Raw genomic sequence first — 27,689 nt, forward strand, 5'->3', positions numbered from 1 at the left:
TTTTTTTAAAATAGTACTGTTGAACCCTGGTAGAGAAAACACATAGTGAAAAGTGAAATACCACTAAGATGGAATTGTTACCCCTTTCACATTTTTTGAAGCATTGTAAACAAATGCTGAAGTACAAAGGGCTGACTAATGGTTTTTACCACTGACTTTAAGGAGGGCAGCATCTCAGTAAGAAATGTGAAAATGATGAAGTGCTAGTGCCTTGTAGCATACTGGCCAACATTTTGTAAGTCAAAAGTGAGAAAGGAGAAGGTGAAATCAGCAAGATGGCAGAATAGAAAGTCTCAGTCCTTGATCCTCTACTGAGACACTGACTTAATAGCAATGTATGGATTAAAATACTTTATGAGAACTCCAGAAACCAGATAAGAAGTTGCAGTACACTGGGCAAGTACAAAGCCAAGAATAGCCATCTTGAAATGAGTGAAAAAAGCAGTTTGACTTTACTAAGCCAGCATAGCTTAGTGCCAGGAGCATATTTCTCAGCTTGCAATTTCTCCTGGGTTTGAGGAAGAGAATGAAATGTTTAGCCAGTATTCCACCTTTTCAGAGATCTCCCCAGAGAACTGGTTTCTGTCTCACCTGACCCCAAACACTGATGAAACAAGCATAGATTAGATGCCTGAATCCATTGAAAACAAGGGAGAGTAGAAGTGGCTTCCTGTGGTACCAAAGGACCTACTGTGCTGCTGAGAAAGTCTGGCTTGGCTTAGTGCCTTTCGGAGGAAGCACCCAACTTGTGGTTTCTTCTTCAGGAGGGAAGAAGATGAGTGGAGTGTGCATCCAGTATTCTGGTTTTTTGGAGGTCTGTCTGAAGGACTGGTATCTGTGTTGCCTACTCACCACTGCTGAGGAGCCAATGGCCTTTGGATCACTGGGGGCACTGAGAACCAAGGAGAGCAGAGTGACTTGCTGTGGCAATGCCACAGAACCTGCGGTAGTACAGCAGACAGCAAATGGAGTGAGAGATTACAAGCTCTTAAAAAAGACAACTGCAAACTTCTCTAGGTGGGAAATTACATGCACAATCTCAAGTCACATCCCCCCAAAAAGAGTTCAGAGATTCCCCAAATATCTAGCTGGACTAAATGGTGTATATATTCCTCTGTATGAAGCCAATCCATAAAGATTTGTAGTGGTGGCTGTTTTTGTAAATGTACAAACTTAGCAAAAAATCACAAGACACATGAAGAAACAGGGAAACATGGCCCAATCAAAGGAGCAAAATAAATTTACAGGCCAACCCCCAAAGAAACAGGGATTTATTAATTACCTGACAAATAATTCAATATAAAGTTCAGTGCTTTGCATGGGAACACAGACAATTAAACAAAAAAATCAGGAAAACAATGAATGAACAAAATGAGAATACTCACAGAGAGGGAAACTATAAAAAAGAATTAAGCAGAAGTTCTGGAGTGAAAGAATACCATAACTGAATAGTAAAATTTAGTAGTGGAATTCAGCAACAGCCTTGATTAAGTATAGGAAAGAATCATTAAACTCAAAGATATGTCATTTGAAATTACAAAATCCAAGGAGTAAAAAGAAAAACAAATGGAGGAAAAGTGAAGAAAACCTAAGGGACTTATGGGACACCATCACATGGACCAATATACACATTAGGGGATTTTCAAAGGATAAAAGTAAGAGAAGGGGACAGAGAGCTTGGAGTGCTATATTGCTTCTCTTGAATGCTTCTAGGAAAATGTGAGAAGACAGATACAGATTAAAGATGAAATTTGTAATCAAAAGGGGAACAGAGCATAAAGATTTGGAAAATTGTCAGCCTTACCATGTTGTAAAAGAATGGGAGAAACCACTGAAGGTGTGGTTGAACCAATTTAATAAGGAAATTAGTCTGGATGGAAGGAAGACAGAGGCTATTCATCAAAACAATGCATTTTGGAGATCTTAGAGGCTGCCACTCCCATCATAGGCCCATATTATCAGGACCTTGAGGGCAGTACACTTTTAAGGGGGCTGGGGAACCCATTGGACCTTGGAGGGTGTTTTCCAGGGATGCTTCAAGTTTCTAATCCTTGCATCCTGGTGTAGTGTTCCTTGGTCACCCCAGATATGGCTCCTGTGGGCCCAGGTGCTGTCCTCTGGAAAGTACAAGCCATAAACCTTGGTGGTGTCCATATGGTGCTAACTGCAGGTATGCAGTGTGCACATCTGTGAAAGCATGGATGCCTCCACCCAGATTCCACGGAGACCCTCAGAGCCTTGACAGATAACTGCCGCGGGCAAAGAGCCACCACAGAGAGCCCCGACTAGAGCAATGCCTAGCAGTCAGGGGCTCAGTGCTACTCCTAAAACCCCAGACCTGTAGAGCCACCAACATGGAAAGCCAGCTTGAGAGAGCTGCAGGCACCCAGCCTCAACCCTTGAGAGCGGCAATGTACACTGCACATAGCCAAGCCATGAGTGTAGGGCTACCCAAGGTCTTTGGGGCAAATACCCCACCCTGGTGTGTCATGAACTTTCAGGGGCCAGGAGACAAATGCTGTGGTTTGAATCAACATCCTCCCTGACCCCCTGGACACACACACTTCTTACCTAAGACTCAATGTGATAATATTAAGAGGTGGGGCCTTCAGAGGTGAATAAATAAAGAGGGAAGAGCTTTATTATTTATTAAGAAATTTATTTATTAAGAAATACTATTATGATGTAGAGTAGTGACTTTATAAAAAGGCTGGAAGGGACTAGCTAGGGGTCCTTTTTTGCCCTTCTATCCCTTCTATAATGTGAGGACACAGTGTATGTCCTCTCCAGAGGACACGGCTTTCAAGGTACCAGCTTGGAATCAAAGATCAGGCCCTCACCAGACACCAAGCCTGCTGACACCTTTATCTTGGAGTTGCCTAAAATGACCTAAATGTAAGATCTGAAAGTATAAAACTGCTAGAAGAAAACATGGATATTTGATTGGACAATGATATTTGGATATGACACCAAAAGCCTAGGCAACTAATGCAAAAATAGACAGGGAGAGTACATCAATCTTAAAAACCTTATGATGGCAAAAAAAAAAAAAAAAAAAAAAAAAAACATCAGAGGGAAAAAGCAACCTAAAGAATGAGAGAAAAGTTTACAAACCACATATCTGATAAAGGTTTAATATCCAGAATAAATAAAGAATTCCTGCAACTCAACAACAAAAAGTAAAAAACCCAATTAAAAAATGAGCAAAGGACTTAGACATTTTCTCCAAGGAAGATATACACATAGATAAGCAAATTGAAAGATTTTCTGTATAACTAAGTATCAGGACAATGCAATCAAAACCACAATAAGGTATTACTTTACATCTGTTAGGATGGCCACTATAAAAAAAGTAGAAGATAAAAAATTTTGGAGAGGATGTGGAGAAAACAGAATCCTGTGCATTGCCGTTATAATCGTGAAAAAGTAAAACTGTGATGGCAAACAGTATGGAGCTTCCTCAAAAAATTAAAACTGGAACTACCATATAATCTAGCCATCCCATTTCTGGATATATATTCAAAAGAATTGAAAACAAGATTTTGAAAAGATACGGTTACACTTGTGTTCATTTCGGTGTGATTCACAACAACCAAGAAGTAGAGGCAGTGTAATATCCACGGACAGATGAATGGATAAAGAAAATGGGGTATATATATAAAATGGAATATTATTCAGCCTTAAAGAAGAAAATTGTGCCAAATGCTACAACATAGATAAACCTTGAAAACATTGTGCTAAGTGAAATAAAACAGCCACAGAAAGACAAATACTGCATAATTCCACTTATATGGGATATCTGAAGTAGTCAAACTTACAGAAACAAAGTAGAATGATGGTTACCAGGGATTGCAAGGAAGGGAAAACAGTGTTGTTGTTCAATGAGTGTAGAGTTTCAATCAAGTAAAACCAAAAGTTCTAGAGATGTGTTGTACAACAATATGTAATATGTTAAGATTGGACTGTACATTTAAAAATTGTTAATACAGTAAATTTATTGTGTAAATTTATGTGGTTTTTACCACAATAAAAAAGTGAGAAAGAAGATTCTTGTTTATTCAGACTTGTTTTAATACAGACATTCCCAACTCTTGCTGCAATGTGTTCTTTACAAGTATTATTTCAATATAATATTTCTGTAATCTGATAGAAGTAGTTTTATAATTGGTGAATGTATTTCTGATCAAAATCTTTACGTTGTGTAAATTCTGACTACGACCAACACATTCTCATAAATATGAAAATTTATGTTTTTAATTATTTAAATAGTAAGATTGTATGACATTTTCTGTTTTTAATTATTTAATAAGATTGTATGACATCCACTGATATCATTGTTTTGGGGATCTTAATATCCCTAAAATATCTGGGTTATGATACATTCAATTTCAGAAAATATTGTTGACATTTGTAAATATTTTACCCTTTTTAAATTTAAATGTATTTGTGGATGTCATTTTATCTCACATCTCTTTTAAAAATGTAAGGAAGCTTGAATTGATGCCTTCTTTTTTTCTCTGCAGGTTTTACTGTAGCAGATAGGTATCAAAATGTAGTATTCCATTGATTTTTCTTTTTGTTTAAAAAAATACCATTGTAGCATTTAAGTATTTGAAGGGTATCCTGGGGGGTTTCGAGCCAACATATTATACATCTGACTTTCCTTTTTTTTCATTCTTGCTTTTACACTGTCTATCAGAGGCAACTTTGAGAGGGATAAGAAGCCAAAAATATAAAATGAGTAGTTTAGCATCAAAGTAGGGAGAGAGGCAGACAGTCGAACTTCTTTGCCTTGGTGGCAAACAGTGGGTTGTGAATGGGGAGGGTGGCAGAGGACTTATGGTCTCAATGTGCATGTGTATTTGTGTGTAAATTTGTGTATCAGCCTCCAGACATAAAAAATTAATTGATAAATCCACCTTTCCAGCTTTTTTTTTTTTTGAGAATTAAGAAATAACAGTACTATTGAACTCTGGTGCTACAAAAACAGAGTGAAAAGTAAAATATTGGTTGAAAATAGACAAAACAATCATAAGCATTATTTCAGTGAAAGGAGCTCCAGCTATATGGAATAATTGAGTAATACAGATTGAGCATCCCAAATCCGAAATTCAAAATGCTCCTTAAAATCTAAATCTTTTTGAGGGCCAACATGATACTCAAAGGAAATGCCCACTGGAACATTTCAGATTTTCAGATTTGGAATGCTCGACCAATCTGTAATGCAAATATTCCAAAATCTGAAACACTTCTGGTCCAAGTCATTTCATATAAGAGATACTACTCTATCTGTACCTTAGAACAGTGGTTGACAAATTTTTTTTATAACGGGCCAGATAATAAAATGTTAAGGTTTTGTGGGCCATACAGACTCTGCAGGCCATCACAACTCTGTCATTATAGCATGAAAGCAGCAATAGACAATATGTAAAGAAATTAGTGTGGTTGTTTTCCAATAAAACTTTATTCACAGAAACAGGCAATAGGCTGGATTGGGCTCAAGGCCATGGTTTGCAGACACTTAGCCTTAGAATTTCAGTAATATCACCAAAATCACCGCCTTAAAAATGTAAGTCAAATAAATTTAGTTCCCTCATCGGTAATATGAAAAGGCTGAATTAGATTATCTCCAAAGTCCCTTCTAATGCAAACATTCTGAGTGTTTGTCAAAGTTGACTATGGCATCTCTCCTCGCAGTTTGCATCATGTCTGGCAAGAGTATAGCTGTTGTTTCTTGAACAAGCAACTTAAAAATACAGTGAAATGTACTCTTTTATTTTACAGAACTGTTATCATAACTGCTATTGGTTATATTCTCAAAAATCACCTGCCAAGGAAAAATGCAAAAGGTTCGTGCTATTCTAGTGTTAGCAGAACATGACCATCGATGAACCTCATCTGAAAAGACTGATGATATTTATTAGACCAAATTAGGAAACCCACACATTCAGCTCTGCATTTGGTCTAGCTGAAGTCTGTTACTTGGGTAGCAAGCTGTTCAGGAAGTACTTTTTTAAAGAAGGAAAAGGAATCAGGAAAGCCAGTATGTTTTTGGAGTCATTTTCTGTTTTTTAGTATTTAATCTTCCTCATCTTGCCCCACAAACCGACCCAATTCTAGCTTATTACTGAGTCTTTTCAGACCTAATGTTTCAGTTTGTTTCTATGGTTTGTTCATGCTACAAGCCATCATCACCCCACTCAGCAACTAGAGCCCTCTCCTGGCTAATCTCCCTTTCTGTGCAGCCCATCTCTCATAAATATACCCTATATGTAGCAGCCAGTATCCTCTGCTTTAGTGTTTGCATCGGTCCTCTCCTCTTCAGGAACTTGTTTGGGTTTATATCCTATTGTATGAAATCTATTCTGTGTTTCATGGGGTGCAGTTTACATCAGCATTCATTGTCGTTTATATTTGTCATATCGATTTTTCCCCGTCATTTCTGATGGGCTGGCTAACAGCCATAATTCTCATCACTGCTGGTTAAAAAGCAAAACATTTTAAAAATAAGAATTCTGAATAATGACATAAATGGACCCCCAAAATAGTTCTCTATGATTTAGTATTTGCCTTGATTACTAGCCTATTTTTTAACAAATAATTGAATGTAGCTAAACCAAACTTCTCAGGAAACAAATTGGTATCCTAAAAACAAGGGTAATTAATTATACATTTTATACATCACTGGGAAACTGATATATCTTAATTGAATAAACTCTGAAGTTTGTTGAAGATAAATTAAGATCCCTATGATTCAATGACAAGAAGTCATTAGTGGCATTGCCCTGATGATCTCTTCTCTCCAATTACAAATTATAAATTAATATTCTTGTTGCATAATAATCTCACTGAGTTTATGTTTAGTGTGATCGGTTCCTCTGAGCCCCATTAATACTGAAAGAACAGGTGAGATCAAATTTTCACAGCACAGAGTAGCAGAAATCTTTGAGAAACAGTTGTTGAAAATAATAGCCACCTATCATCTCATTAAAAGTTGGCTGCAAACAATAATAAACACTTCTACTTGTTTCAGATATTTAATATATATATTTAATCCTCAAAGTGACCTTCTGATACAGATATTATCTTATCCGTTAGATATCTTCAAATTGCTAATACAGAAGATGTATAAAAAACTCTATAGGCTTTATTCAGTTAATTGAAAAACTTAGAGGCAAGTCACACTACAGGCAGTATGTAATTTGGTGGCTCAGGCGTGTCACCAATGGCTAGTATCTTCACTCTTTTCTGCTTTCCGTGAATGCATCTTAGGATGCTTTCATCCTAAGGCTGCCAATCTTCACGATATTATGTGATGTCATGTTTATGTCTGGTTGTACTTCTTTCCTGGCACTTCTCTCAAAAAATAGTTTCTTTCACTCTTCAAGCATCTTTGCCTCTCAGTGTTATCTAATCTTCTTAAGATTTGTGCCTATTCCTGAACCAATCACTTGGGCAGGGGAAGAGATTTCATTGATTGGGCTAAGCCAGTCTAGGACCACCCTTATTACTGAGGGTCAGGTTAAGTCAGGTTAATACCCTCCAAAATGGTAGAGGGGCAGTCTCATGAAGGAAATTGGGATGAATCAGGGAAAATAGATGTTATACAGCAAACACCAAGTCCCTACTACAACCCTTTCTCATTTGTTTTTTACAAAATAACAACAACAATAATAGTAATAGTATAAATAGTAAATAGTATTTGTAACAGTATATAAATATATAATAAATATATAAATATAAATATATAATTATATAAAGTATAATAGTATAATAAATAGTAATAGTATTTATTGTGTGTACTGTGTGCTAGGCACATGCTTGATACTTTAAATACATTTTAGTCTTCAAAGCCGTCTTGAGAAATAAATGGTATTAAATGTCTGTTTTCCAGAAGTTTAGAAAGATTAAACAGTTACCCAAAGCCGCATGGTTAATCAGACCTAGGTCAGTCTGACTTAAATGTCCATGTCTTTTCACCAAGTCATGCTATCTCCCTAGTAAACCATAAGCTGACTATTAAGAACATTGTAAGTATTGTCTTAGAAATTTATCATTATTATAGAATTCTAGGAAATAACCTATCCCATTTTGGTTTAATGTGCAACATACCCATACAGAAAAAAGTCTTGATAAGCAGAATTACAAAAGGGGTGTGAGTTATCTTTTTTTTGCCTACTTTGAGCACCAAGATCCTTATTGCAATGGTCAGGTAGGATACTGTATGCTATATGTATCCATATGCATATATACCTGTGTGCTGCATGTATGAATATTGCATATATCACAAATTCTAAGAGAGGTTTTTGTATTGGCACTTAATGAAAATGACAAAAGAACAAGTTGAAAAGGACAGGCTCTGCCTTCTAAAATAACTTTACAGTGAACACTAAAGACTATGTCATCTGATATCAGCCTTCAGTTTGTCACTTAGTGGTGATAATCGAGTATTGTGGCTAAGGGAATATCTCTGGCCCAGTCTGAGTTATTTTCTGGGTGTCCTAACTTTAGTCCCATATTCTGCCTCCTGGGGAGTTTATTTCTTGCTTCAGGGTTCTTAATACTTGTACTTGCGGAAGGCTTGGGCTTTCAATAATGATTCATAATTATTTAATTTTTATTGAGGTCCTTGCTTCCCTCTAGTTTTCTACAAAAAGCTGACTAGGCTTGTGGAATGGTGGAATTGTGTTCCTTTACTTAGTATTTGTATATCTGTGGCTTAAATAACTATAAATTGGAAATAAATTTAAAATTTACTTTCCTAGATTTAATGACTCGAAGCAAGAAATTGTTCTAAGGCAGAAATATTGTTGGATTAACTACAGAACAATCAGAAACCCCTTGTGTATCTTTGACTATGTTACAGTATTTGGAAAGAGTTGTCTATAGCTCTGCTTTCCTAGTACTTTATTTTCTGGACATCACTTTTCATTCATTATTTAATGCTATTTAAGTGTAGTGTTTTTCTTTGTTTATTAATATATTATGTACTATTAAACAATATTTGGTAATTTGTTGAATAATAGTTTATTTGTTAAATAATTTGTTGAATAACAAATGTGTGTTGGGAGTACAAAGTATTATATCAAGAAGTAAATTTTTAAAAGGCAGGAGGCAGATGATAAAGTGCTAACTGGAAAAAAAGTATCAGGATTCTACAGAACAACACTGGGGTTATGTCATATGCTGCTTTTAAATCAAATTGCAGAAAAGATCATTTCATTTAAAAGTTAGTCTGTAGCTCAGACAGAATACTATGTGGTTTCAAAAGCAGAAGGGTACACGTTTTCTAAAGCAGTTACATATATCTAACAAAAGAATTAATATGTGAATATTGGTTCAAGTAATAGCTTGAACTAAATATTAATTTCAAGTCTATTTTAATAGGCATTTTAGTACCTATTAAAGTTGATAAATTAGTGGAATTTTACTTTTCACTATTGAAATCAGGTTTTGTTCCGATTTTTAAGTAAAGCTTGATAGAAACTATTTCAGTCATCATCCTGGTAATTTAATATATTTGGTATTCTCTTAAAAATAACAGGAAAAAATTGACACCGTTAAGTTTATGTTTAAAGCATATAGCTTATTTGATTTTGTTAATGGCTCACCTAAATTTGTATAATACTTAATCTGTGAATAAGAGAAAAGGTTAGAAAAGAAGAGGATATTTAAAGGAGAGTTAGGCAGATGTTTATTTTCTAGGTATTCTCATTAAGGAAAAAGCCACTAAGTCTTCACCTCTATAGCTTTTCTACTTAAGAAAGCATAGATCCCTGGTGAAGAAAGTAAAAGAAAAAAATAGTCTAGAAATGGCAAATAAAATGCTAATCTCTCTTTTAAAATTCTGGCTTAATATCTGGGGGCCTAATAGAGAAAGTGGGAAAGATTGTTTTTAGAGAACGTATATTTTAATATACTTTAACTCTTTTTTTAATAGTGCAATAAACTATAAAGTAACTAAAAAGAAAAATAAGCCAAAGCTTTGAATGTTAAGAGTGAATGCAAAGTTTATGGTTGCATTAGTCAGTATGGTAGTCACTGACCATATGAGGCTCTTGAGCTCTTAAAATGTGGCTAGTGCTTCTAAAAAACTGAATTTTAATTTCATTTCATTTTAATTGATTTAAATTAAAATACTGATATTGATTCAGTAATTGGAAAATTTTAAGCATATTTGGAACATCTTGGGTATGTGAATCTACTTTTCAGCTGTAAATTTAATGAAATCTAAATATAGATCAGATATTTCAGATGAAATTTACATCTAAATTGAGATGTATCATAAATGTAGAGTAAATATATTTCAAAGAGTGTGATTTTAAAATGTAAAATATCTCAACTAAAATTTTCATATTGACATATGTTGATATGTTTTGGATATGTTAGATTCAAGAAAACTATATTATTAAAATAAATTGCACGGTTTAAAAAAACTTTTTAAATATTTTTAAAAATTTTTTAAAAATGTGGCTACTAGTAAACTTCAAATTACTACTTAGCTCATGTTATGTATGTCTTGGACCATAAAGGTTTAAGAAGGTTTTCTAAGACTTCACTGGAATTTATTTGATACATAAAAATACATTCTGGGTCAGTGAGTAAATCAGGCCAAAATCATAGCATTTTTCTTTTTCTCTCTGTCCGGACACTGCTATCAGTTATGTTGGTGTGAATAGTCTAATTTTTTAAGCAATCACTGAATCTAATAGCTAATCCATATAATTTACTTTTTTGTAATTAGCTTTTATAATTTACTTTTTACATACTCATATTTGACTCATAATAATATAGTTTTCATGTGGTATTAGAGAAAAGCAAATTCTATAGATTTTAGTGAAGCAAATTGGTAAAAACAGTGATAAAGGAAAAAGTATGATTTTTGTATATTATTATGACCTGGATAATGTACAATATGAAACACTTAAAGTACTTAAACGGTATCTAGAAGAGATTATGGTGTCTGTTTTCTAATATGTTGTGTTCTTTTCATGTTTTCTGTTATCCTCACGTCAAACAAATTGGGCAAAAAGCATGGCCAAATGTGTAATGCATTTTGCTCTGTCAAATATTCCTAATAGATCCAAATAGATGATAAATGTGACTTTCATCATAACTTTGTCTCATTGTTCATCTATCAATTCCTCTAGGAGGTGATTTCCTCACCTTTCTGAGAAGGAAGAAGGATGAACTAAAACTCAAACAGTTAGTGAAATTTTCATTAGACGCTGCTGCTGGTATGTTGTATCTCGAGAGTAAAAACTGTATACACAGGTAAGGAGAACATTTTTAAAGCAATTTTTGGTTTTATTAATAGAATGCTGGAAAACTGATGTATTTGCTACAATAGAAGTCATTTTCTTTCATGAAACATGTCTTTTCTTGTTTTCTGTATTTTGTGTGAAAGTGTCCTCTGCTAGTTGTTTATATAGTTTATACAAACACTCCTTTTTCCTCTTACTTGAAGTGAGTACCTAATTAGACAGTCATTTGCCTACTAGTTAGAATTTGTTTTATTATAATCATGAACAACGGTGACATGGAATGTACTACAATTTAGTAATATAAGAAACTACAGCCTTATAATCAGATAAGATTGTTTCATGTGTTGTCTATTCTCATTTTCCAAAGAAATTACATATGAAGTCATGGAAAAGCATAATAGTAAAACAGCAATTCATAACAGTGAATTTGGTCAAGGGTAAAAGATTTTCAGACTCATTTAATGCTCTTTTGGACAAATTAATTTTTCTTTCATTTTAGTACCTCACTAATTCATGGCATCGTATTGAGAAAATAAATACTAGTTATTTCAAAGGAGATTTTATGAAACTTGTTCTGATTGTATGTAGTGACCTGGTCTTAATGCTTTATACATTGTGGTTTTAGTTGCTTGTAGCGGGAATTGTTTTTTAGTGCTAAATGTCAGTACAATTTATGATCTGTTGCAGAATTCATGTCAGATCCTAAATATGGCTAAGTATAAATAAGCACAATGAAGTGGAGAACTGATGCAGTTTTTATGCACCAGAAACTGTGCATAATACTGTTTAATGTGGAGCAAGGTTCATTGCTAGAGTGAGCTGTTGTACACTTTATCTAACTGGTTTTGTTACTGAAGTATACTTTTCTCTGAGGGGAATCATTGTCCAGGCTTTGCTTTAACACTCTAGTGAGGTTGTATAATATATAATTAAAGGAAAACAAAGTTACCATCACCTTAACTATACATTTATTTGATCTCAATAGATATTTTTGACTTAATTTCCCCATGCTCACCCCAAATTTTACTCAGTGTTCAGCTTTATTCTGAAACTATAATTATGACCTGTATTTTAAATATGGTTCAACAATTGCATATATTTTAAAATTCATTTCTATGGAGATATTTCTTTTGGAAATTAACTAAAAATAAGACATTATCATTGCATTTCTGTTTTACTTTCTATGACTGTAGATTGAATCACATGATAAGAATTGACTTAAAAAGCATTTGATTCTGGATAAAAATTGTACTACCATTAATTTCATTAGTGGTCAACACTGTGTTAAAATTAACCATAAAGGTTTTGCTCTTCATTTGGAGAAAATCTGTAATTTTGGTTGCCGAGGTATTGAGGTGCTTCAAATTCTCTCTGGTAATTACTCCTTTTGTCTCTGATTTATTTCATACCATTAGACCGCCTGTGGGCTTTAAACTGTAATAAATACACATTATTGAAACTTTTTTTAATTTGTCAGTTACCATGACTCTTCTTTAATTTCTGGGACATTGCATTTGAGAGGACCATTGTTTCAATCTCTTGCTACTTTTTGTAGTGATTATTTTCTTAAAAAATGGGTCACTGTATAAATGCCTATGTCATGAGAATTGAAACTATTCTACATTGTAGATGGCAGTTAGCTTTTTTGAATTCATTTCCCTCTCTAAATCATAATATTATCTGCTGTAATGTTGTTTTTCCCACTTTGCTTTTTAAGAATTTTCATGCCTTCACAAATTTTTGAAAGTTAACCCTTTCTTGACCACATATCCTAGCAGGTTGTGCATAGACCTATGCCATTTGCCTACTGGGAAGGTTTCCCAGTTGAACATCTTGAACAATGTCAGTGAGAGCGGGTTTGACAAATAGGTTTCAACACTAGCGCCAACTTTTAGTGAATGGTAGTGGCTCTCCCTGTATATGTTGAGAAGAATTCTAGGAACAGCCATAAAGAGTCCAGTGATCAATTAGTCACATCTGCCAGGGTACTCACGAGTATTAACACACACGCCCCAAATTTGTCATCCTTGGCATAGAATATCTTCTTTTTGTTTTTATTCTCATAAATACTTTTCTGACATTTAAAAATGTTTGTTATGACTTTTCCTTACTAGCAACAATATAATGTTTTTCTTTAATCACTTTCATTTAATTCTTCTAAACTATCTGGTTTCTTATTTCCTTTGTTAATCTTGAGTGCTAGATGAATTTTATGATATCTCCCAACTAGTGGTCCTTTGTTCCTCTTCAGACTCATTAAATGCTCTTTTGGATACATTGTTTTTTTCATTTTAGTACTTCACCAATTCATACTATTGTATTGATAAAATAAATTATTCTTTGTGTTGAGTTTTTTTATAGTAGTGAATTGTGCTGTAGAACCCTGTTCCTATGTGCCAGCCTACATAGTTCTTTCTTTGGAAATAGTAGTTGCAATAGAATTTTACTTGATGTAGAGTTAAGACATAGATTATGTGTTTTTGCTCCTAAGAAATATGAAAGAAAAAAAATATAGGATTTACTACAGTGAACAGTTTTTTCCTCACTGAAAAAATTTTTAATGAATTAAAATAATGTAAAACATGATTGAAAGTTCCCTTTAGTTTTTCAGGTAATGAGGAAAGGTTCTAAGTCTCATTTTTATATGCCAAAACATAACAAAAATAAATGCATGTCTATGAATTACAAAGCCAAGCTTTGTGTCCAGCAAATTCTAGCAAAAATTTTAAATCTTCTTTAAATTTTATATGAATTTACAAATTTTATCCTGTTCACTGACGGGAGGTCACTAGAACTCAGTATATAGTTGAAAATATTTCCAATTGTCTCTTCCCAAAATAGTGTTTTTAACTTTTAAGGACACATATTCTTTCTTTAGCTTTGTTTTATTGTTTTGATATGAGAAGAGCAGTGTTTCATTATAGGAAAACAATTATGACAACTATAAAATGGAAAGAGGTTACTGCATTAAGAAATGACCTGCATTTGGAAGTGTTCTTGTTGTAATTTCCATTTAACTTCCAGAAGAGTTCTCTTGCTACAAGTTTCTAGTGGAAACTATTTCTGTTTACAGCTTGAGGATTGCTGTATAGTTGGAATTTTGGGTTAGTTTTAATCAACGGCATTTTATTTAAAACTATTCTGTAGGCCAGTGTGAAATTTTCTTTCCTACTTGTACTTTATGAACTGTTTGAAATACACTGATAAACTTTGTGGTGTGTGTATGTTTACTTACAAAGGTATGTTACTAGATTGTTAGATGTCATCTGTAAAGAATACTCTGATTTTGAAGTTAAGGGGAGTCAGGATTGACATACTTGATATTAATGGTAATGGCATTCATTTATGGTTTTATTCTTGATGAATCCTACTGCCAAATTTGTTTTTATTCAGGTTTATTTCTAAAAGTTGGCTTTGTGCCATTGTTCTTTGATATCTTCAGAAAGTAAAAGGAGGACACACTTTTTATTGCCATATACTTGAGTGAAAGCCCACAATTTATGGGGAGTTTGGGGAACATTTCTTAATTTCGTATGTCATTGTCAATATCAGAAAAGATATATTTTGGAGGGGTTAGGTAGAATATGATTTCTTTTTCTAATTTTCAACTCTATACTGATTCTCTTCATGTTTGGTTGCTCTAACACAGTGATTTTTGTTTATCATGGAGTAAGCTAACAACTTTACAAATTAAAGTATATTAGACCACATTTATTTTATTAATCAGTCAGAGTTTTGCTTATGCATTGAAGACATTGATATTTCCAGTGTTTCACAAATGTGGGCAGTTGACTACTCTATGCCAGGGGCTACCAAAATGAAGATTATAGTCACTGCCCTCAGATGGATAGAACAAAAGTTAACAATAATGCAAAGAGATAGTCAATTTTGTGATAAAATCTACAGAATTCTTTGGGAGTAATATCAAGAGAGTCTAATATGACCTGTCAGTATGGGGACGATGATGGGAATAATCAGGGAAACTTTGCAGAGGATACCCTCTGAGTGAGACTTGGTGGATGGGTGTGTCACTGAATAGAAGGAGTAAGAAGATTCCAACTGAAGGAAAATTGAAAGCAAAGTTACAATGCTTTGTAAGAGAGAGCTTGACTTAATTGTGGACATTTTGTTGAACGAATATGAATTTTAACTGAAAAAAGAAAACTAATTTGAACAAAATTTACAAAACCCTAAAAAATGTATAATCTCATGAAAATGTATATGAGACCAATATTTTTTTTTCTTTTTTTTGAAACGGAGTCTCACTCTGTCGCCCAGGCTGGAGTGCAGTGGCGCCATCTCGGCTCACTGCAAGCTCTGCCTCCCAGGTTCACGCCATTCTCCTACCTCAGCCTCATGAGTAGCTGGGACTACAGGTGCCCGCCACCACGCCCGGCTAATTTTTTTGTGTTTTTAGTAGAGACAGGGTTTCACCATGTTAGCCAGGATGGTCTCAATCTCCTGACCTCGTGATCCGCCTGCCTTGGCCTCCCAAAGTGCTGGGATTACAAGCATGAGCCACCGCGCCCGGCCAAGACTAATATTATTCTTAAGCTTCATTGGGAAAACTAATTTAGGAAGGCTAAGATTGCCAGGAAGAGAGTAATATTATATTTCATTTATATATTCTAGAAGAGATTGCCTTGTCCAGTGATTTCTAATAAGGATTACCTATGTGTACTTTTTTAGTTAAATGTAAGATACTGCTTCCAGCTTATATTTGTGTGTGTGTGTGTGTGTGTGTGTGTGTGTGTGTGTGTGTGTGTGTGTTTTGAGACTTCATATTTTATTAAGTAAAAGATTTGGTATGCTTCTGACCATTTACATTTTTCCCGATGATCTTTGAGGATTTATTTCTCTATTTTTGTACTGAAAATGATTACCTAGTGTCTGAGCTTTTCCTAAACTGTGAGTATACTGAAAAAGTATTTTGTCCTTGGTGCACCTTCAAATCATTTAAATGGTAAAATAAAGACAAAATAAATAAAAATAAAATAAAATGTTTTCTGTGACGTTTTGAACCCTTCATCATTTCTGTCACTCGTGATCTACCATATACTCAATTGAAGGCACTGTAAGACCACTTTAAGTAACTGAGACCCAGAGAGATTAAAGGAAGGTCACCTAAACAATTAGTGGCTGGGCCACTGCTAGGTCCTAAATGTGCTGACTCCATTCTGACACATTTCCTGTAATTCCAGTGCCAGTGTTTTGCTCTGTCTCATTCAAGTATTAGTAACCCTAACAGCTGGCATTTATTAAGGGCTCACTGAGTACTAGACACAGTTCTTCTAAGTGCTTTAGATGCAATGTCTGAGAATGTCAGCTTCCTGAGATCAGTGATTTTTATTCATATCGTTCACTAATGGATTCCAAAAGCCTGGAACAGTGCCTAGCAATTGAAGCTAAATGAATGAACCTTCAAAACAATAGCGGTACTATTGTTTAAGCCCGTTTTACACATGAGGAAACTCACAGTTAGGGAGTTTGAGTATCGTGCCCAAGATCATATTAAAAACAAGTGGTAGTTTCAGGATGTGAATCTCAGCACTCTGGTTCTAAGGCCACACACTGAATCTACTCTACTGCCTTGTACAACAGAGGTATCTTCTGATTACCTAGGAAAGTCAAGGCAGAAGGCCGAATGGTATTTGATGTGATGACTAAGCTTATATTTAACATCTGCACTCTGTAATGATCATGAGCAAAAACAGAAGAGGGTTCTGAAGGCTGTGAAACATAATTTTAGAAAGACAAACCAAGATGTTTTTATCATTTAATGAACAGTTGCTGAAATGCAGGAGCATTTTGTTGTTGCTTCTCTATTTAATAAGAGTTTGAATTTTTTTTCATTTTTATATACTGTTGTTTAGAATGCCCCCTTATGCTTTATCTGTTAATTAAACACACAGGATTAACATAGAGATGTGATAATCTCAGTTAGTTGACTAAGCATTTATGACTGATTTTCTTGTTCTGACATTTGATTTACAATTTTGAATATATTAAGCTGTATTTTTATTTTTAGCTTTGAAACCAATTTTGCTATAATACAGAGAGGACTGCTCAATAATTTTAAATGTATTAAGAATATATAGTCCTTCTTTAACCCTTTTTTCCTGTTACAAATTGGTATTTGTATATGCAGTGCAATTATCATACAAAGATAATGTAAGTGAACACCTTTATAAAAATTTTTTATCCTACTGCTTTATTCAGGGTAAAAATTTCCCACCACTAGTTTCACTCATTTTAATTAAGGACTTTTCCCTAAAGACACATGTGTAATATGTTTCCAGGAATGAAAAAAGAGACCTTCCTTTATGTTAGCCAATTAACATCTTGGCTTGGGTTAATGTACCAGCATATCTAGCTGCTACTTTAGAAAACAAAAATGAGAGATTTGGAGTAAAGGGTCAGAGGACAGTAGTTAACTATTTATGGTTACTGGTAGGAAAGATGCAGTATATGCAGAGACTGTTGAGGACTTAAGGGCAGTCCATTGAGCACACTGAAAGTCCTTGAGAGTGAGAGGAGAAGGAATGAAGGGAATAGTAGTACATTAAGGCTATTTCATGGTTTAGTTAGGGCTAGCCATGTCCTGTGTTACACAGATAAGATAGAAGAGAAAATTGGCTGATGTCTCATATTCTTCCTCATTTCTGACTTTTTTCCAGTCAATTACAATAAGTACATTTTGGATTCAGAATGTCAAAAAAGTGATCTTTTACATTAAACAATTACAAATGGTTACAGTTACCATTTTTCTTTTAGGGAATATTTGATTACAAGGAACAGAAACTAAGCCATAGGAGTTTTTCTTTTAACTTTTATTTTAGGCTCAGGGGGTACATGTGAAGGTTTGTTATACAGGTAAACTCATCTCACAGGGGGTTGTTGTACAGATTGTTTCATTATCCACGTATTAAGCCTAGTACCCAGTAGTTTCTTTTTCTGCTCCTCTCCCTCCCTCCACCCTCTACCCTCAAGTAGACCCCAGTGTCTGTTGTTCCATTCTTAATATTTATAAGTTCTCATCATTTAGCTCACACTTATAAGTGAGAATATGCAATATTTGGTTGTTCCTGTGTTAGTTTCCTTTATCATAAGGAAAGTTATGGGGTTATCTCACAGAACTCAAGGACTGAAAGTTCAGCCAGGCTTTGGAGTTCTTGAAACTAGTAACCGGGAAGCAGTCAGGGACCAAGGCAGGATCTCTTTTTGTCTTTCCCTGTGTGTTCATTTGGAGTTTCATTAATGCTTTTTAACGTGTTGCTGCTCATTTTCCCTTTCACCTTGAAGACTACATTCCTCCACTCCTCTTGCAAAGGGCCCTCAAATGACATTTAGGCTAATATAACCTGCCAGGCCCAGCATCTGCAGGTAATTAATTAGTCTTTGAGCTCAAATTTCAAATTATGGACACAAATAATTGGCCCAGCTTATATTAAATGTCTATCCCAATTTTAATAACATGGCTAGACAGAAAAGAGTGTGCAGGGTCACTGTTACCTAGAGCTAGAGGAGCCAATCTCTTGTGTGCAAGGGGATAGTTCTCAGATGATGGGGCATGTACTAAAAGGCTTCAAAAGATGGCTATCGTACACTCATGGAGAGCTCACTGTTTGCCAAGTACATTCATATGCTCATTTAACCTTATATTTCTATGAGATTGGTACTATTTAATCTACATTTCATAATGGAATAGATTGAGCCACAAAAGAGTAAGTAACTTTTCTAATGTCACACAGCTAGTAAGAGGAAGATTCAGGCCTATTCTGAGCTGATGATAAAACCTGTGAAGTAAAGCAAAAGAATTAAACTATGTATTAGATATATTTATCATTTTCTTCCCTTTTGTGAAGATGATCAGCCATATGGATATCCCTCTTATGAAGCAAACTTAAAACTAATAAATGCTGATTTAGAGAAAGCCTTGTTGTAGGGAGAAGAGAATCTTTTATAGATCCTATCTCTGTATTTTCCTGGGATGATTCATTCCCTCACATTTCATGTCACAGGGACTGCCAGTTGGTCCATTCAGTCTCCTTAAATCCTATGTCATACCAAGTCCATCCAACAGGCAGGAGATCAATCTCAGTACAGTGGAATTGGGTTCATGATTATCTCCAAAACTTGGCTGACCATTGGTTCAAGCATTGATTTGAGAATTCATGTTCTCAAGTCAAACCTGATTTATGATAAAGTAACTCACTTTTTCTAGTTAGTCTTGATCAAATTCTGGGGAATTCATCAGAACATAGATGACGCAGAAACAAGTTTGACCTTCTGGCTTGCAAATTATCTCCTACTTTCTGGCCTCCAAGGCAGGATTGGAGCAATCAACATACAGAACTAGAGAACTCTAGCTGGACATTGACTCTCAATTTTAAAAATTACTGGGTTCTTTGCCCAATTATTGTTTTAAAATATTGTTCATCATTTTATTAAATACAAAAGCACTACAAGAAATCCTTTTCAGTCCCAGGCTTCTCTTTTAAAGTGTTCTGTGCCAGTCTGGACTGTTTCCATCCACATTGCCAACTCTGATATCTATTAAGTGTAAGCATTTGCAGAGCAGTTAGCAGCTTCAGCATCGTGGCTAAGACCACCGATTTGAAACTGGAATGCTCTGTGCATGAATCCTAGGTTTTCAACAAATTAGCTGTGTGATTTTAGACCTCCCCTCCTCCCCACCTGGGAATTCCCTGTAACCCATAACCTGTTTTATTTTTTGTGATAGTCCTTACTATCACCTGTTTATTTTATTTATATAAACATACACATGTATGTGCATATATTCACATGTATATATGCTTATGCATGTATTTATATAGACACATATGTAAAATAACTGGTTTCCTTTTTATTGCTTATCTCCCCCAACTCCCCCTCAAGTTCCATGAGGACATTGACTTTATTTTGTCCATTACTTAGTACTCAATACAGAGCTTCTAGTCATTGCTCATCAAAAATTTGTTGAATGAGTGAATGAAGTTACTTACTATGCTTCATTTCTTCCAGTATAAAATCAGGATGATAATATTCACTCCAGTACACTGATTCAGGTTAGAGAAGGCAAGGCTACTTAAGTAGCAAAGGAGTATCTGAAGGCTTTCCACTCCCCACAGCATCTCAGGGGGACCACAACTTAAGAAGAAACCACACACGCCCATACCATTTTAAGATTAGATTAAGTTGTCTGTTTAGCTGAAGATACAGAAATGTTCCAGAAAAAGATAGCCACATAAAGCAAGAGCAAATGCACGATATTTCAATTCACCTTACCATGGTCCCCAGAGTTTCTAATAGTGACACTATCTAAAAAGGGTAGGGCCTTGTTGAATCTGAGATGCTCATTTTCTTGCTAATTATACTCCCATTCAGGGTGTACTTATACATCTATGTAGGTTTGTTGAATGTAAAGTTTTAAACATAGGGCTATACTGGTTTTTGTGCCAAATCCGGTGTTAACAAGGTTGAATCCTTACTCTGGGAAAAATGCAAAGTTAAAGGCGGGCTGTCTCTAGGCACTGTATCTCTGACTCCACTCATATCTCCATAGTCTGCTACTTCACTTTCATTACCCCTTTAGCTAAGTGTTACCAATACTGAGTATGTTTTGGCCAAGCATTCTTCAAGATTCTCTGGCTACAGTGATGAATGAAACAAAGCTCTACCCTTAGGGAACTTTAGTAATTGGGGAAAGTGGATAATAAACATATTTTTAAAAAATAATAATCAAATATAAAATAGTCCATGTGTTAAAAAGTGATATAGAGGATAATAGGACAAAAGAGAAAGGGATGGTGGAGATGGGCACCATTTTATATAGGGTGTTAAGAGAAGACCCAAAGGAGATAAAAGAGTGAGCCATGTGAATATCAGTGAGAAGAGCCTTCCTGGCAATGAGCATTGGAACTGCAAGATAGAACAGAGACAGGGGCATGCTAGGTGTGTCAAAGTAAGCCAGCAAGGTCAGAAAATTAGGTGAGTTGTTACATGGCCAGATCATAAAGTTCTTGTAAGCCATTGAAAGGACTGTGGCTTTTAGTCCACATGAGGTGGGGGTAATTGATGGCAATTTGATCTGTTCCAGGTTTATGAAGAATCAGTGGAATTCTTTTTTATATATTTTTTAATTTTATTATTATTATACTTTAAGTTTTAGGGTACATGTGCACAATGTGCAGGTTTGTTACATATGTATACATGTGCCATGTTTGTGTGCTGCACCCATTAACTCGTCATTTAACATTAGGTATATCTCCTAATGCTATTTTGTAATTCTAACAATTTTAACGTATTACTCCATCAAACTGTAATGAGCCAAATGAAAGAAAAACATAACTCATAGCTTCTTTTCTACTGGGACGCTACTATATGCTGACTGCTGTGCTACTGGTGATACAATCATGAGCAAGATGGACAGAGTACCATTCCTCCTGGCATTGTTTTATCACACTATGTAATTCTTGTAATGGAAGAAAAATGAAGACCTTGAAATTAATGGCACTCAGAGTCTTAGCTACAGTTTTTTATATTTAAATTGGACATATGTTTCCCAAATAAGTTCTAGATCTTTAGAAGTATACTTTGTTAATAGTATCCTAGTTCATAGACCCATTGATTTTGAGAGATAAGTAAAATTAAATATGTGTATAATTTATAGAGGGTTATATTTTCCATCTGGGGTCTCTGGTTTTATGACTTGTAAATGAACACAGGTAATTATTATTTACCTAAGTGAATAACCGTGTTGTTGCTAGTTAACAAAAACAACAGATCATGGCTAATTTTTGGAGAATCAATGTTATCTATAGAACTAAGGTGACATGAAAGAGAAGATGTCATTTATTTGCTATTATGTTTGGTATAAAAAAAGGCCATTCCCTTCTAAAGAAAGATTATGTACTCTAAAGCAAAATGAACTCTATTGTATAGATTGGTGCAAAAGTAATTGCAGTTTTTGCCATTGGAAATAATGGCAAAAATCACAATTGCTTTTGCATCAACCTTATAATAAAAAATTCTGCTTCATTAGTTCATTCTCACACTGCTATAAAGAACTTCCTGAGACTGATAATTTATGAAGAAGAGAGGTTTAACTGACTCACAGTTCCACAGGCTTAACAGGAAGCATGACTGGGAGGTCTCAGGAAACTTACAATCATGGCAGAAGGCGAAGAGGGAGTAAGCACTTTCTTCACATAGCAGCAGGAGAGAGAGAGACTTTTAAACCATCAAATCTCATAAGAACTCACTATCATGAGAACAGCATGGGGAAAACCACCCCCATGATCCAATCACCTCCCATCAGGTCCTCCCCCAACATTGGGAATTATGTAATTCAACATGAGATTAGGGTGGGGAAACATAGCGACACCATAAGAAATTCTTGCATAAAATAACTTAGAATGGTTACTGTTTGTGGTCTGGTGTGCCTATTTTTACTTCTTATGGACACATATTTTTATTATAGAACAAAAACACCTGCTTATTATGCTCTTAAATTAACCTTTTAATGCTGAACTTCTTTTATTACACAGTTTTATTTGCTTTTTGTGGGGAAAGAAGTAATGCAAATTTAAAAGAGGGTTATAATGTTAACCTACCTCACAGTCACTGTTTGTTTGTTTTTTTTTAGGTTAAATTAAAATAAGACATAGATAAGTTTTGAGAAAACTAAATGGCAGTTCAAATTATAGTAGTATTAAATTATTATCCAGTTGTAGATGAAGAGGGAGTTAGATACCAAGGTATATTAGAAAATGAAAAGAAAACAAAGATAGCTGAAGGAATAAATAGGTTGAAGAAGGTGCAAGTTAAAAAAGGTTTGAATGGGATAAATGTAGATGGTGATCATTATTCTAATTAAGAATGCAGCCTCTCTATGTATCCACTATAAAGGGACCCTGTGTCAACTATAATGTAGCTGAAGTAAAACTTACTATTGGCATCCAGTGCTGGTCATCTCAGTGGGCCTTCCCTGGTGTGGGCCACTGCTTCAAAGCAGGCTCTGAGAGAGATCACTATGCCCGGAGGTTTTGGCTGCACCTCTCTCACTCTCTCTTTCTTTTTCATATTTCCATCTTTAACATTTTATTTACTTGGAAGAAAAATACTGCAACATTAAGAAAGTTTTAGCTGGTGTGTTTCGACCTTAGTTTTCTTGTCTTTATGAGGAGAGAGGGGAATTAGCTTTTTTCCCATTATCTTTATTAAATCACTGTTTTAGAGTTTATTTGAACCCATATTTTGAAACATTTGAAAACTGCTTAAAAATGAATGTCTAATGCAGAAGGGTCACTGCAGTTTCCAGCAGTGCATCTTATAACTTCCTATTCTTGATGCTGTTAGTCTGCATCCTACTGAAGAAGAGTAGACAGCTTTCTGATCTGATATATCAAATATACAGCCTCTTCTCAGTAGTATGAAACCTTTGACATTTTCATAGATATCCATGCCCTCTCGAGTCATCTGTCTTTCCTAATCCATCTACCTGTCAAGCTGTCTTTTCCAATGCAAGAAAAAGTGGTCATGATCTAAAATCCTCTAGGTTTTGAGAAAAGATAAGAATAGGCTTCCATCACTGCTGAAACTAGAACCAACCTGATGATGTCAGAATAATACAGAGTTCATCTTCCACAATTGCTCAGTTAATAGTAACAGGTTAATAATATGAGGAGGGCTTGTTAAGTCTTTGCTGAAGTGAAAACTGGGTTTTTCCTGCCTGATCTTGATCTGTCCTAGGAACTTCTGCTTACATATCTATGACTTGAGGACATCAGGAGTCCCACATTAAGCAGCGGGAAAAGATACAGAAAAGGTGTAGACTATATATACCTACTCAAATATATTTCTTTTTCTAATTTTTTAAACAGTAAGAAGCAAAGGAAACAGGATATTTCAGGAATTATTTTATATTACTGGATGAAAATGTCTGAGAACCACTACTTTTAAGCAGTATCTGTGGAAGGAAAGACATTCTCTTTTCACTTCTTGGGGCAACAGAAATTTACTTACATTTTTCATAGGAAACTCTTCAAGCTACTGAGTTCTTCTGAAGTTGTTTAAATATTGTTGCTTTATGTGTCCATGCATACACAGCGCAAGCCGGGAACCTCTTGAAGGGTGGAACTATATTCATGTTGAGGTATTATCCCCCTTGCCTAGCACTATGCCTGGCGCATAGTATGGCTGAGTAATTCATGGACAAAAGAATTAAAGGTAGGTTAAGTGTTAAGAAATCTTAACTTTTTGCAGCACAAAGTATGTTTTACCTTTATAAATGCTTACTCATGGATAATGATATTTAGTGGAAAAAGTAAATTTCCCTAATTTGCTCCAAAGAGCATATACTGAAAACATTATCTAATGTTAAATCATTTAATATGTAAGGGAAAAGCCATGGGAAATAGGCAACAGATGAAACAAGATTAAAAAAATAGAAAACTATATATAATCAAGGCCTTAAGAATGGCTTTTCTAAGCTATTGCCCTTACGCTTTCTAAGTAAATGTGATAATGATGATTGGTGCTAAAGTGACATTCTTAGAATTGAAAGTCTGTGTGTCCACTCAGTGAACTGTATATTGGAAGTGATGGGTACTTACTTCCCCACTCACTGTACTAATCCCTCACTCTAATGTAAAAGGACTTGATTAATTTCATTTATAAGCCATGTCTTTTGTAACTACTCTATAGGCAAATGGTGATTGTAGCATACCCAGGACTAAATTTAATATGAGTAATTTATTTCCCAGTAGCTATCAATTATTAATTTTTCATTTATCACTTTTGAATTGTGAAACCCTGCAGATGTTTGAGTAGAAAGAAGTAAACTTTATTCAAATAATAATATTTAATAAAGATATTAAAGTCAATGGTGCTGTTCTTTTCATTTTTATATGCTAATATCAAGACCTCATTGCTTATGAAGCTATCTATAATCATGCAGGGTTTTAACTTGGAACTTTTGAGGATAATAAATGGATGAGAAAAAAAATGATTGAACCCTTGCTCTGTAACCTTTTCTTCAGGGCCAAATACTGTACTGAATATTTTAGGCTTTCTAGGTCATATGGTTTCCATCACAACTACTCAACTCTCCCATTCTGAAAGAAGTTACAGAAAATATGTAAAAGGAACATGTCTTCGTTTCAATAAAATTTTATTTACCAAAAAAATAAAGCAGACTGGATTTGGATCATGGGCCATGTTTTTACAGACCCATACTCCAAAATGAGAACAAAAGCATCCCTCTTCTCAGCATATCTATCTTTAATTTTCCTTTGAGACTGTGATTCAAATCATTTCCACTCCCCCTCTCATCAGCTTCCCCTCATTCTCTCTGTCCCTATTGTTTGTATTATATCCTGTTATCTTCTAAAATGAAGGTCTTGTTTTACCAACTACTTTTGTTAGCCATTCGAGTATATAGATTGCCTTCTTCCTTCTTTCCCTCCTCTCTTCCCTCCATTCTACCATCCCTCCCTCCTCCACATTGGTTCTTAATGGAGAAGCCAGTAGATATTTTGTTGCTAATAATGAATTTATTTTAATTCTTGACTGTTATCTTAGGAGATATTATAAAAGTAATTATTTTATTTAAATTTCTCAAGCCCTAACATAGTAGTCGTTAAATGCTTGTTGCTAATGAAGAGTTTAACATTTTTATCATGAAAATTTGTAAACATGTAAGACCAGAGAGACCTGTTAGGCAAAAGATGAGAAAGGCCTAAACTATAGTAGTGATAGGAAAAAGATATAAAATTAAAGACTATTTAGGAAGTAGAATCAACATGATTTATTGATAGGTTGGCGATGGTGGGTGAAGGTGACTCCTAGGTTTCTCAGATCCAAATTGAAACCAGGTATTTTCCAAGTAATACTGCCATACCTATTCACCAGCCTAGGCAGTTCTAAGTGGAAAAGGATTTGCATGGAGATAGCAAAGTAAGTGGTATCTTATCTTAACTAATTATCTCTACACCTAGGAGAATTTTTATGTTCGTTTATAATAATTGTTATCTTATCCTCAAGTTATTCAACCTAAAATTATGTAAATAGTTCAAGTTATTTTTAGACATCTCTGTAAGTAAGTTTCCTGCTAGTAAGTTTCCAGACAGATTTTGTGCAGTTTTTGTTTGTTTGTTTGTTTGTTTGTTTGTTTGGCACGACTCCTCTGTTCTTTCAGAAAAATCAGAATTTTCAGCTTCCAATTGTTTTGTGGTTTTTGGTATTTTTATTTATAAACTTGGTAGTTAGATGCTTTCTGTTTATAATTCAAAATTATAAAAAATCACTTACACAAATACTACTGTAAACTCTTTCCTTTTCTTCTTACCCCTCTCCTCCTTTTCTCAAGCCTTGGTCTACTCTGTGGTAGGCGTAGTGTTAGTTCTAACAGAGAATTCTATAATAAATAAAAATTTATTTTCCATCAGGAGGTTTTTCATATAAAAGAAGATGTGAGACATACACATTCAACCAGAATATATAATAACATGAAATGATGAGATACCAAAGAAATTAAAGTGGCTTGAATTGGGGAAATATTTCTTTCAACAGATTGGATACATGAACTCAAAGGGAGTGTGCTGGGGGCCTTTTCTGAGTTACGGTCTCTATGCTCCCTTGGCCACCTTGCTCTAATGGTAGCAGTGTCCCGAAGAGGTCGCCATGCTTCCAAAAATCTGTAACCTATACTGGGAGATGGAAACCTGTGAAATGATGTTTGCCAGTTTTCTTTACCGATAGATGTTGAAAAGCAATGTAGTAGTACTGACTCTAGACTTCAGTTATAAAAGAATTATTTTATCTATAGTCTTTGTTTAAAACTTGTTTCTGTTGCTTCATAGATTTTCTCTTTTCCCTTTTTATGGAGAATGCTCTGTCAGATTATTCCCCCCGCCAAAAAAAAAAAAAAATGAAAAAAAATAACAGTGTCAATGTATTGCTTCATTTCTGTTTGAAAGTATATTTTGACAATGTGTATGTCATCTAAAATGTTAAGGAATCAATGATTCTTTCAGTTCTAAAGCCCACCTGGTGAATTAAACCAAATCTGCATCAAGTTATTCATTTAAAATGTTGCTATTTTGCCTTATTCTCTTTACATGTTGCTTGTGCTGATGTCATTGATTATAGGCTGCCACCATATTTCGAGATAATTGTTACTGATGCAGCCTGTCTTCCTACACATAAAACATTTGCATTGCATTTTGCCTTCAGGATGTCACTCTTTGTAAGTAAAGACAAACATAGTTTGAAGACAAATGGCATTTTTAAACATAATGTCATTTTCCACTTTTTGTATGAATGAAAATTATCAGCAGTTCAGAGTAAGGACTAAAGTGAAATGAATAATAAATACGTATTTTTGTGATTATGCTTTTTAAAAAGGCCAAAGAACAGAATATG

General features: G+C 34.7%; 1 protein-coding gene across 17 annotated transcripts in view; it reads left to right on the plus strand.

Moving 5' to 3' along the window:
* FER (FER tyrosine kinase) overlaps positions 1–27,689 on the plus strand; it is a 448,945-nt gene that overhangs the window by 341,349 nt on the left and 79,907 nt on the right. For all 17 annotated transcript variants that reach the window (NR_146155.2, XR_007058589.1, NM_005246.4 and 14 more), the window contains one exon: positions 11,151–11,274. Coding sequence is in view for 15 of the 17 variants with exons in the window: in NM_005246.4 (NP_005237.2) it covers positions 11,151–11,274 (124 nt within the window). In the remaining 2 variants the exon portion in view is untranslated. The remainder of the gene's footprint in view (positions 1–11,150; positions 11,275–27,689) is intronic.

This window comes from Homo sapiens, chromosome 5 (assembly GCF_000001405.40).
Source record: "Homo sapiens chromosome 5, GRCh38.p14 Primary Assembly".
Classification (NCBI taxonomy): Eukaryota; Metazoa; Chordata; class Mammalia; order Primates; family Hominidae; genus Homo; species Homo sapiens.